The 12,297-nt window shown below is 38.3% G+C and overlaps 1 protein-coding gene across 8 annotated transcripts in view; it reads left to right on the top strand.

Annotated features, from left to right (window-relative positions):
* The window catches only part of UBN2 (ubinuclein 2), a 99,192-nt gene that overhangs the window by 12,270 nt on the left and 74,625 nt on the right, over positions 1-12,297 (top strand). For 7 of the 8 annotated variants that reach the window (XM_011516003.3, NM_173569.4, XM_011516002.4 and 4 more), the window contains exon 3: positions 8,450-8,551. The exons of the other annotated variant lie outside the window; for it this stretch is intronic. In XM_011516003.3, the coding sequence (XP_011514305.1) occupies positions 8,450-8,551 (102 nt within the window). The remainder of the gene's footprint in view (positions 1-8,449; positions 8,552-12,297) is intronic. 8 annotated transcript variants of the gene reach the window in all.

Raw genomic sequence — 12,297 nt, forward strand, 5'->3', positions numbered from 1 at the left:
TCTTTAGGTTAAATTTTAATATTTGTGAATTAATTTATATGTACCTTTCTGGCAACTGCCAAAAGTTTGGTTCCAGCTTATACAATTTACACATTATTGAATTTTAGCACAGTTAGGGAACTGGAGGGTGGAGAATAGATATGGGGTGGTAAGGCAGGAGGCAGGTCAGGGTTAGAAGTTTTCCAGGAAGGCCACAAGTGAGGAAAAGCAAACTGTACCTAGAAAACTACTCTAATGGCCTCTGTGATGAAGGAGGGAACTGGAGATTGTGCCTTATAGTTGGCAAAAATCTATTTATAAGTGGAGCAATGCCTTTGGAACTCTGGTTGTTGGAGAGTGAGTTAAGAAAGAGCTACTCAGGTTTGGGTGTGTCAAATACACGTTTTCCAAAACTCTTTCCCCACAGTGGGACTGGAAAGTAGAGCCAAATGAGGAGGAGTTCAAAACTTTGGTAGTGAACATTTGGTGGGCCAAACCTAATAAAATAACATTTATTGAGTGGGTAGTACATGTCCTTAATAAAACTCGGAAGATACAAAAGCTAATGATAGAAAGTAAATCTCCTTCCTACCCCTGACTCCCAGCTAACCAGGTCACTCCTTAGAGACACTGTGAGTTTCTTGCCCCAGAGAGCTATGTGTATGTGGGCAGTCACATATTTCAAAGATTTTTTTTTGTTACTGTTCACTGTAAGAGGATATATAAATACAGATAAATGAAAAGATCAAAATAAAAATCAGCAAATCACCTGTAAGTCCACTGCCAGGCAGAACCACTGTGAATAGTTTGATAGTTGAAAGTGTATCCTTTCAGGAGTTTTAAAAATCCATGTGCAATTACGTTTGTACTTTCTTACACTATAAAAAAATTTTTTTAAGAGCCTAGTGTGGTGGCTCACACCTGTGATCCCAGCTACTTGGGAGGCTGAGGCAGAGAAGATAAATGTCTTGAGCCTAGGAGTTCAAGACCAGCCTGGGCAACATAGCAAGACCCCATCTCTTAAAAAAAAAGTTAGATCACCTGAGCAATACATGAATATGTTCCTTTTATTAAAAACAAATTCAAATAATACATATTACATCAAAGTCTTCCTGCACCACTGCTTCCAGTTCTATCCCTTCTCTGTCGTAATGACCATGGTTATCTGCTTGTTGTGTATTCTTTGAGCATTTTATACATATCTATAGATATATATTGCTATGTTTTGTTTTTCATAGATGAGAATATCCTGTTCATATGATAGTGTAAGAAACAATATCTTGTTATTTAGCTATTGTCTCCATAATAACCAGTTAAGTTGAGGACCTTTTCAAATGCTTAGTGAACATTGATAGCACCTTTTCGTGAATAGCCTGAGCTGTACATAACATTTAGGAAACTCTTCTTGTTACCTTCTATATTAATAAATACTCTCTATCACAATTTTTTAAAATTTATTTATTTATTTTGGAGACAAGGTCTTCATCACCCAGACTGGAGTGCCGTGATGTGATCATAGCTCACTGCAGCCTTGACCTTCTGGGCTCAAGCGATCCTCCCACCTCAGCCTCCCAAGTAGCTGGGACTACAGGCACGCATCACCATGCCCAGCTTTTTTTTTTTTTTTTTTTTTTTTGAAAAACAGGATTTCACCATGTTTCCCAGGCTGGTCTTGAACTCCTGGGCTCAAGCGATCAACCTGCTTCAGCCTCCCAAAGTGCTGGGATTATAGGCATGAGCCACCTCGCCCAGCCTACCACATTATTCTTCAATGGCTATTAACATTGAATGGATATGTGATAGTTTGTATAATTTACACTTTTATAATTGATATGCTTTGTGAAGACCTTATACCTGTAAGATCATTTTGAGGGGAAGCATTTTGGTCAGATTAATACTATTATGATCAAATAAAGCTTTAAGTCTTTTATTTGCTCCCCTTGATAAGATTTATACTTATTTAACAATACTAATCATTTTACTACTTAGATTAGATTATGGACTCAGAACTATTATGGTTTCTGGTGGCAACAAACTAGTCACTTTGGCTAGACATAGATGTTCCTAAATCTCTAATTACCCATAAATTGTTTGCACTTCTACATATATCTGATTGTGCCCATTACAACAGAACCTGTTTGTTTAGTTTTCCCAGGTAAATCTCATAGGCAGCTATTTATGCCTAGACAAAAAATATGTTAGGAGATCAAAAAAGATCGTCATTGTGATTTTAATGAGAAAGCATCCTGGAGAAAAGATTGAAAATGTAGGCTGATATGAGAAAGCTGGGAGGATTAAGTGAGTAGCAGGAGACTATCCCAGATGGGGAGAAAGCACAAGGAACAGTAAGAAGGTGTGTTTGGGGGAGAGTTGGTAGACAGTTTGAATGGATGAAGTGTTCATGTTGGAAAATTGTAAGAAAAAAGTTGGAAAGGTGGTTTGAGTCAACATGTACAAGGCATTTAACTGGTGCCATGTTAAGGGTTTTCAATTCTTATAGGTGGAGTGCTTTTGAAGCATTTTGAGCAGGGGAAATAATAGGGTATTTTCCAAATATTAATTAGGTGGTAATTATGCAGGATAAATTTGAGGAAAGAGGCCAGGCGCGGTGGCTCACATCTGTAATCCCAGCACTTTAGGAGGCCAAGGCGAGCAGATCACCTGAGGTCAGGGGTTCGAGACCAGCCTGGCCAACATGGTGAAACCCTGCCTCTACTAAAAATACAAAAATTAGCTGGGTGTGGTAGTGCGCACCTGCAGTCCCAGCTACTCGGGAGGCTGAGGCAGGAGAATCACTTGAACCTGGGAGGCAGAGGTTGCAGTAACCTGAGATCATACCACTGCACTCCAGCCTGAGCGGCAACAGAGTGAGACTCCGTCTCAAAAAAAATTTGAGGGAAGAGAGGCTAATTAAGACATTCATTATGTTTAGGTGAAAAACAAAGGCCAGCATTCTAGTATTGACAGTTAGAATGGAAAGGAAGCTGTAGATATGGTTAATCATGGCAACAAAGATTTATGGGGAGAGACACTTGGAAGCAGAAATTATGAGAGACTTTTGAAATAGCATTATTGAGGTATAATTTAAATAAATATAATTCATCCGTTTTAAGCGTACAGTTTGATGGATTTTAACAGATGCGTGCAATCCTGTAACCACTACTACAATCATGATACGGAACAATTGCATCACCCCAGAAAATTCCCTTTACAGACAGATCTGTCCCTCCAAACTTAGCCTCTGGCATCCTCTGATCTGGTTCCTGTGACTCTAGGCTTTTCTGATGTTTGTTTGTTGGCCTTTTCTAGGGTTTCCTGTAAATGGAATCTCATGTCTTCTGCGTCTGGGTACTTTGACTTAGCATAGTACTTTTGAAATTCCTCCATGTATTGCCTGTGTCCCTTCTTATTGCCGAGCAGTAATCCACTGTATTCCTACTGTGGATTATGTTCCACCGTTGTTTATCCGTCCACCAGATGATGACCGTTGGGTTGTTTCCAGTTTTTGGCTGCCATGAGTCAAGTTGCTATAAACGTGAGAGTGCAAGTCTGTGTGTGAATACACATTTTCATTTCTCTTGGGTGCATGTAACAGTGGGGTTGTTAGGTCCAATGGTAACTGTATGCTTAATAAGAAACTACCTGATTCGCTGAGAGAGAGCTTTAAAGGAAAAAAAAAAAACAAAAAACTACCAAACCATTTTCCAAAGTAGCCACATCATTTTGCATTCCTGCTAGTGATGAATCAGAGAACAATTGCTCCATGTCCATGTTAGCATTTGATGTCATCACTCTTAATTTTAGCCAATAATGGTTTTAAGGCAGAAAAAATAGTAAGGATGAACAAAATTGGAATGTCAAGTGGGAGAAGCTAATTTAGAGACAAATGACAGTGGAAACACTAATTTCAGTTTTGCTTTATTAGAGTTTAAGGTGTTTTCAACTAAAAAAATGACCCTATAGGTTCTATAACTTCTCATATAGAATTTTTAAAAGAATGGCCTGTTGGAGTTAGGCAGTCATGAGTTTGAAGATTGGCTCACCTATTTTCTGTGTGACCTTAGATAAGTTACTTGTCCTTTCCTAGCCTTCGTTTTCCCCATTTGTCAAATGTGAAATAATAGATGATTGTACTTAGTATAGGATCTGATGCAAAGTTAGCATTCAGTGAATGGTAGCTTGGTATTTAAATATATATTTTATGCCCCAGTAACTTGTGAATTTCTTGCAAATCTGAGCATTTTTTTTCTTTCTAGCTGTTTTATTCCCCAACTGTGTTAATTCCCCATACTAGTAGTCAGAGTGATTTTGTTAAACACTGATCTTGTCAGTTACTTCCTTGTGCTGATGCCTTCCACTTGTCCTTGTCTGGGTATGAATATCTTAGGAAGAAACCTTGATGAGGTCCTCTGTTGAAAAGGTCTCCTTTCAACCTTTTTCCTTTCTACCATTTATAATTACTGTAGTCATTTGTTTAATCTTTCTCTTCCCCTCTCTGTACTTAACTGCTTGTGTATAACTATAAAATCCATGAAGGCTGGCACATGGTAAGTGCTCAGTAAGTTTGTTTAATAGATCATCTTGTTTTAAGTTACTTGAAGACAAGGACATTTCATACTTAAATTCTGATATCTTAACATATTGCTTTCTATGGCATAAGTTCTTAACAGATATTTTTGACTCTAAGTAATGGTTCGAAATAAGCTATGTAGAATTATTGGGTCAAATAAGATGAAGAGTTTTAAAAATTATTTTAGCATATTTCTATTATAACAGTAATACTTCATAGGAAATTTGGAAATCATGGAAGAGGCAGAAGAAGAAAATGTAAGAGTATTGCAAAGTCTCATGGCAGATGCTTTCAGATTGCTTTCCAAAAGGGTTTTATTGGTACATTCTTTATCAGCAGTGTTTGAGCAGTCCTATTCTCCATCTTTTCAGAATTTAAAATCTTTTCAAAATTTGAATTTTCAAATTCAAATTAAATTCCTCTATAATTTGATAGAGGAAATTGATATCTTACTTTAATCTCATTTATTGATCATTTTCCATTGAGTTGTAATGCTGCCTTTTTCATCTTTAATTCTTATATACTAGGTTAGGTTTCTGAACAATGCTGTTCATTAATCTTTTTATTCTTATATTCCTACCTCATCTATTTTAACTCCCATAACTTTAAAAATATTTCGTATGTGGCAGGACTAGTCCTCTTCATTAGTTTTGTCTGTGGATTTTTATATATTTATTAGATCTCTTCCTCTCTCTCTCAGTTTAGGGTGAAATCATCCCTCATGTCCTTAACTGCTTGTGTGTAACTTCTTCTCAATAGACTACCTCCTACCAACCTCTCTCTTTCCTTTTCCTGAATGCTGATTCTCACCATAATTCTATAACATAATATAAAGGTCTCAGTCTGCAGACCTGCCAAAATGGGAAAAATAAAGGACAATCTATTATGTATTTTGCATCTAAGCACATGGGTATGTTGTATGTATATATGTGTATATGTATATATTTATTACATCTGTGTGTGTGTGTGTGTGTGTGTGTATGCATGTATGCATGTTGTTTAAGGTTGCCAACTGGCATTTCTTGAGAAGGATTGTCATTGTTCTGGGATTATACCCTCAGTAGCCCTATTTAGCAAGATGTTGGTTCCTAGAATTGTACTTGAAACTTTTACCTAACTTGTAAAATCTAAAAATATGGGAACCATTACTTACATTTCGCACCACAGTACCTTTCTTGGTGATGATGGTATAGTAATCATGTTGTTTTGTCCACTGAAAAGTGTACAATGGAGTCACAGCTTATGTAGGAGTTAGGTTTTTTTAGCATCACTATGTAATATAGACATAGCAGCTAGTCAGAATTGCCTTTGCAAGTTACTTGTAAAGTGATGACACCATGTTGGAGATGTCTTTCGTAAGTCTGGCATAACTTTTTTCCCTCAAGCACTGGAACAGATCACTGTATCTTTGCATTGAAACAAAGCAAAGCAATTTGCTTTTATTTAAGGGCCATGTTACATACAACTTACTCATCTTTAACCATTAGAATCACACTTTTCATTGAGAGGTATGCGGTTTGAGAGCTGAAACCAAATGAGATGACTAGAGATTTACATCTTGCATCTCATGCTCTCTACAAGGCTCACTGTGGCTTAGTGGTGGCATGTTGGTTTGCAGAATCTTTTGCACTAATTGTTTTCTTGGTTTTGTTTTTGCTTTTGTTTTTTGAGATAGGGTCTCGCTCTGTCACCCAGGTTGGAGTGCAGTGGCATGAACTTGGCTCACTGTAGCCTCAACCTCCTGGGTTCCTCCTGCCTCAGCCTCTCAAGTAGCAAGGACCACAGGCAACATGCCACCATGCCTGGCTAATTAAAAAAAAAAAATTTGTTGAGACAGGTCTCACTGTGTTGCCCAGGCTAGTCTCAAACTCCTGGGCTCTCGCAATCCTCCTGCCTTGGCCTCCCAAAGTGCTGAAATTACAGGTATGAGTTACTGCACCTGGCCTTCTCTTCTCTTTCTAAGCATCTGCTTCCCCCATCCCCTACCAAAAAAAATATCATGGGACAGGGAAGTCTTAGAAGATGCTTAGAAAATTTAAGATGGGTACCATAGCTTGTGTCTGTAGTCCTGGCTACTTGGGAGTGTGAGGTGGGAGGATCGCTTGAGCCTAGGTGTTCCAAGGTGAGCTATAACCATACCATGGCACTCTAGTCTGGGCTACAGAGCCAGACCTTGTGTCATTTTTTTTCTTTTGGAGACAGAGTCTCGCTTTGTTGTCCAGGCTGAAGTGCAGTGGTACCATCTCGGCTCACTGCAACGTCCGCCTCCCCAGTTCAAGTGATTCTTGAGCCTCAGCCACCCAAGTAGCTGAGACTACAGACGCATGCCACCACACCCAACTAATTTTTGTATTTTTAGTATAGATGGGCCTCCCGTCATTTTGGCCAGGCTGGTCTCGAACTCCTGGCCTCAGGTGATCCGCCTGCCTCGACCTCCCAAAGTGCTGGGATTACTGGCATGAGGCACTGCGTCCGGCCCAGACCCTGTATCAAAAAAAAAAAAAGAAGAACTACTGTAGACTCACAAAAAGTTGCAAATATACTACAGAGAAATCCCATGTGCCTGTTGAACCCAGCTTCCCCCAGTAGTAATATCTTACATATCTGAAGTTATCTAAACTAGGAAATTGACATTGGCATAATACAGTCAACTAGATAATAGATCTTAACTCAGATTTCACGTACTCATTTCAGTTTTTACATGCACTCATTTTTCATTTTCTTGTATGTCTGTGTGTATAATTCTAATTATTAAAACAAATACTTTTAGGCTGGACCCAGTGGCTCACACCTATAATCCCAGCACTTTGGGAGGCTGAGGCAGCAGGATTGCTTGAGCCCAGAAGTTCAAGAACAGCCTGGGCAACATAGGGAGGCCCTGTCTCTACAAAAATATTTAAAAATTAGCCGGGCTTTGAGGCATGCACCTGTAGTCCCACTTACGAGGCTGAGGCAGGAGGTTCACTTGAGCCCGGGAGGTTGAGGCTGCAGTGAAGCCATGATCATGCCACTGCACTCCAGCCTGGGTGACAGAGTGAGACCCTATCTCAAAAAACAAACATGCAGTGAGCCATGATCATGCCACTGCACTGCAGCCTGGGCAATAGAGCAAGACCCTATCTTTAAAAAAATAATAATAATAATTTAAAACATAATTTTAAGTTTACAGGAAAGTTGCAAAGACAATACAGAGAGTTCCCATACAGCCTTCACCCACTGTCCCCTGTTGTTGACATCTTGCAATGTTGTTGACATCTTGCAATTTGTATGTTTGTTACAGCTAAGGAGCCAGCATTGGCACACTACCATTCAACTCCACATTTTATTTGGATTTTACTAGTTTTCTCCTAGTGTCTTTTTTCAGTTTCTGAATCAGCCAGGTTACCATATTAAACTTAGTCATTATTTCTCCTTAGGTTCATCTATACTGTGGCAGTTTTTCACATTTTCCTTGTTTTTGATAATTTTTGACAACTTTGAAGAAGGTGGTCACTCATTTCATAGAATGTCCATGAATTTGGTTTTGTCTGATGGTTTTCTCAGGGTTAGGCTGGGGTTATAGGCTACTGAGAAGATCACAGAGGTGACGAAGTGCAGTTTTTATCACAGATCATGGATACATGCAGTCAGTATGATGTATCCCTGTTGACGTTGACTGTAGTCACCTAGAGAGGTAGTGTTGGCCAGGTTTTCTACTATGAAGTTACTCTGTCCCTCCCCTTTTTATACTCTTTGGAACAAGTCACTAAGTGCAATTTGCATTCAAGGTGTGGGAGGACTTAAACCTCCTGGAGAGGGGGACTATCTGCAAAAATTATTTGAATTCTTCTAACAGGTCTTTTTAAACTTTATGGAAACAGCATGAGTACCAAATCAGTCTAATGTATCTGTTCTTTGCAGGGTGGGAAACCCCGTAAACACCGGAAGGATCGGCTACAAGATTTAATTGATATAGGCTTTGGCTATGATGAGACAGATCCATTTATTGATAACTCAGAGGCTGTGAGTAATGTATCTTTAATATAGCAGCAAATTCATTGTTTGTATGGGATAGTAGAAGTCAAGGGTAAAGTAACTTAAATAGTGCAGTGAATGTTTTTATTTGTGCTTTTTAAAGCCATGTTCACTACTTAAAGATTTCTTTACCCTTTTTTTTTTTTTTAAAGAATACTGCAGACTGAGAATTTTGTAATTTTGGGTTTGTCTGTGGTGAATTGTTATTACATTGTTAAAATAGACCAAGTTTTATCAAACTTTTTTCTGTAAAAGGCCACATAGTATTTTAGACTTTGTGAACCCTGTGGTTTCTGTCACAACTACACAAGTTTGCCATTGTAGCATGAGAGCAGCCATAGATAATACCTAAAGAATTAGCATGGCTGCGTTACAATGAAACTTTATCTATGGTCTGTGAAATTTAAATTTCATATAATTTTTCGTGTGTTGTGAAATATTAATTTCTTTTGATTTTTTTTCCAATAATTTTTAAAATGTAAAATCCATTTCTAGCTTGCAAGCTGTTTGAAAACAAGCCGGTGGGCTGGATTTGGCCAGTGCATCTCATGGTTTGCTGACTCTGTACAATGTCTTTATTTTCATATGCTCTGCTCCTTTCCAGTTCCTGAAAGAATCTCTTGGGATTCTCTAGTAGTTGCTCATTTTCAGAAGTCTAATTATAGCGTTGACTCCATCCTCACCCCTTGCTCAAACAGAACAAAAATAAGTTTCTTAAAAAAAAAGAGAAAAAGGAAAATCAAATGCTGAAAAACATTAAGTTAAGCTAGTGGTTCTCAATCAAGGGTGAGAATATTAGTACACTTGTCTTAACTCAGACTTAAGGAATTAGGATTTCTGGAGGTGAGGCCTACAGAGATTTTAGTGTTCTTTTTTTTTAATTATAAGATTAACATATGCTTATGGTAAAACAACAATAAAGTACAAGGTGGTTATGTAGAAGGTAAAGTACCCAAAGGCCCCAGTCCTGAGAGGTAAATACTAAAAATCTTCTTGTGTAGTTGTCCAGAAATTTCAGTGATACTTATATATTAGTACATGGATATAATCCTTTTAATGGCTGCTAGTGAATATACCTAAATTACATAATGTATTTATCTACACCCATTTGATGTACATCTAAACTGTTTCTGGTTTTATGTGCATACAAATAACGGAGCATCTGGGTGCATTTATCTACTGAAGTAACTGTGTATGAAATCTGGGTGCATTTATCTACTGAAGTAACTGTGTATGAAGGGTATTTAGAGGGTGCATTTATATGGGTAGGTTAAATTTCTAGCAGTGGAATTTATTGGTCAAAGGGCATTTATTTGCATCGTGATTTTTATTGATATTCCCAAACTTGGGCAGGTGTGTTTCAAAATGACTTCCAAGATAAGAACCATGCAATCTTAAAGATTGGTGCTACTGGGTTGAAATTAATCTGGCAGACATCTCTAATATCTGTTCAATTCTTTATTGCTGCCATGCCTTATTACCAGGATGGTACATTGAGTGCCAGTCTTTATCACCAGTCTGTTTTGATTGAGCCCTACAGCTTTTCCCCTGGAATCCCCTTTTTCTTACAAAAGGAAAAGGAATTTAGGAGAGCATTTAAGGACTGTAGCAGCCCCTTGATCACATAACAAATGAAAGACAAGTCATGTTTTGCAGTAGAGAAGGTGTATGTTCTTCCATTCTTGTCCATGTACTAGAGTAATCTAATCCCTGGGATTATGATATCCTCTGCAATGTGCAGTAATTAAGCATATACAGAAGGTGACACTAGGTGACTATTACACTACCCACAAATTATATATTATGTCTTTTTTCCTGTTGCTACAGTGCTTGCTTATAAAGTTGATGACAGAACATATAAAGGTAGGAGAGTGACAGTAAGGACTTCAACATGAGGCACATTGGATATTCTGTCAAACTCCTAAGTTAATTCTGCTGTCACGGCCGGGTGCGGTGGCTCACGCCTGTAATCCCAGCACTTTGGGAGGCAGAGGCCGGCAGATCACGAGGTCAGGAGATCGAGACCATCCTGGCTAACACAGTGAAATCCCATCTCTACTAAAAATACAAAAAATTAGCCGGGCGTGGTGGCGGGCGCCTGTAGTCCCAGCTACTCGGGAGGCTGAGGCAGGAGAATGGCTTGAACCCGGGAGGCGGAGCTTGCAGTGAGCCGAGATCGCGCCACTGTACTCCAGCCTGGGCAACAGAGTGAGACTCCGTCTCAAAAAAAACAAAAAAAAAATTCTGCTGTCCCGACATAAACTTATTTACCATACTAGGCAGTCTGGTCTGTAGAAGTAACATATTGCCAGTGCCCTTTGGAGTAAAATGGCCTTCGTCTTACAAAAAAGGTTGTCAACCAATAAATCAGGGCATGGAATGTTTTCCGGAGTCTTGACCTCGATTTGTAACTTGGTGCAGAAGTCTAGATTGTAATCTTAATTCAGTTTCTAATTTGCTGTGTAGCCAGGAGCAAGTCTTTTAGCACCACCCGGTTTTCTCTGCTATGACTTGCTTACCCCACAGAATTACTGAGCCTTAAATAAGGTAATGAATGTAAACTAGCTGAAGAAACATGAAGCAAGTGCAAAGCATCAGTAGAAGTGTTATGTGTACATTTTGAATTCTAAATAACCCAAGAAGTAACTTAGCCATATATAAATGGGCATCACATGTACTCACACTTACATAAATAGCTTTTTTAAATTAATAAACTTTCTTTTCTTAGAGCAGTTTTAGAGTCACAGCAAAACTGAGCAGAAAGTACAGAGTTTCCATGAACACCTTGCCCGCATGCACACACTGCCTTCCCCCGCTCAGCATGCTGTACCACAGTAGGACATTTGTTAGAGTTGATGAGCCCAGACATTGTGACACATCATTGTCACCGAAGTCCATAGTTCACATTAGGGTTCATTCTTGGGGTTGTACACTTTGTGGGTTTGGACAAATGAATAATGACACGTATCTACCATGGTAGTATCACACAGAAGTGTAGTTTTGCTTCCCTTAAAATCTTCTGTGCTCTGCCTATTCATTCCTCCTTCCCTCCTAATCACTGGCACCTACTGGTCTTAACTGTCTTCAGAGTTCTACCTTTTCCAGAATGTCTTATAGAGAAAATCATATAGTATGTAACTTTTATAAATAGCATTTTTAATATCTCCTTTTATAGCATTTAGGATATTTTCATGCTGACTTTTGTAACCCATAATTGGCTTATATATCAACTTAAAGGGCATGACTGGTATTTTTAAAGAAAATGAAATCAAATAGAATAGGAACTAGTACGTCATTGGTAGACTATACAGTTTTTATTGTGTGTGTATGTGTGTGCTAGATTTTGATGGGTAATGTATTTTCCACTTGGGCTGTGGTGAAGAAAAGTGGAAAACTTCTGTTTTAATAAGTCAGGATAAATTTTGTAGATACGAATTGCTTAGTCATACAACTAGTTTCTGAACAAGGTAGGTTCCTGTTTTATAAGAAGAAATTGAACTGAAATGCAGGTTGCGTGACTTAACAAAATAACTTAGTGTCTTTGCCCTTGACATATTATTTGTTTTTTTTTAATGAGATAATTCAGACATAAAACAACTATGGTCGAACCAAATGATTCTTGTTCTTTTCATTTATTGTATTGCCAGTAAGCTTTCAGTGTTGGCATATTGTTTAATATATTCTGAATCATGCACGAATTACTAAAAATAAATACCTGAAAATAAATGCTTTTG

Source organism: Homo sapiens, chromosome 7 (assembly GCF_000001405.40).
Source record: "Homo sapiens chromosome 7, GRCh38.p14 Primary Assembly".
Taxonomy (NCBI): domain Eukaryota; kingdom Metazoa; phylum Chordata; class Mammalia; order Primates; family Hominidae; genus Homo; species Homo sapiens.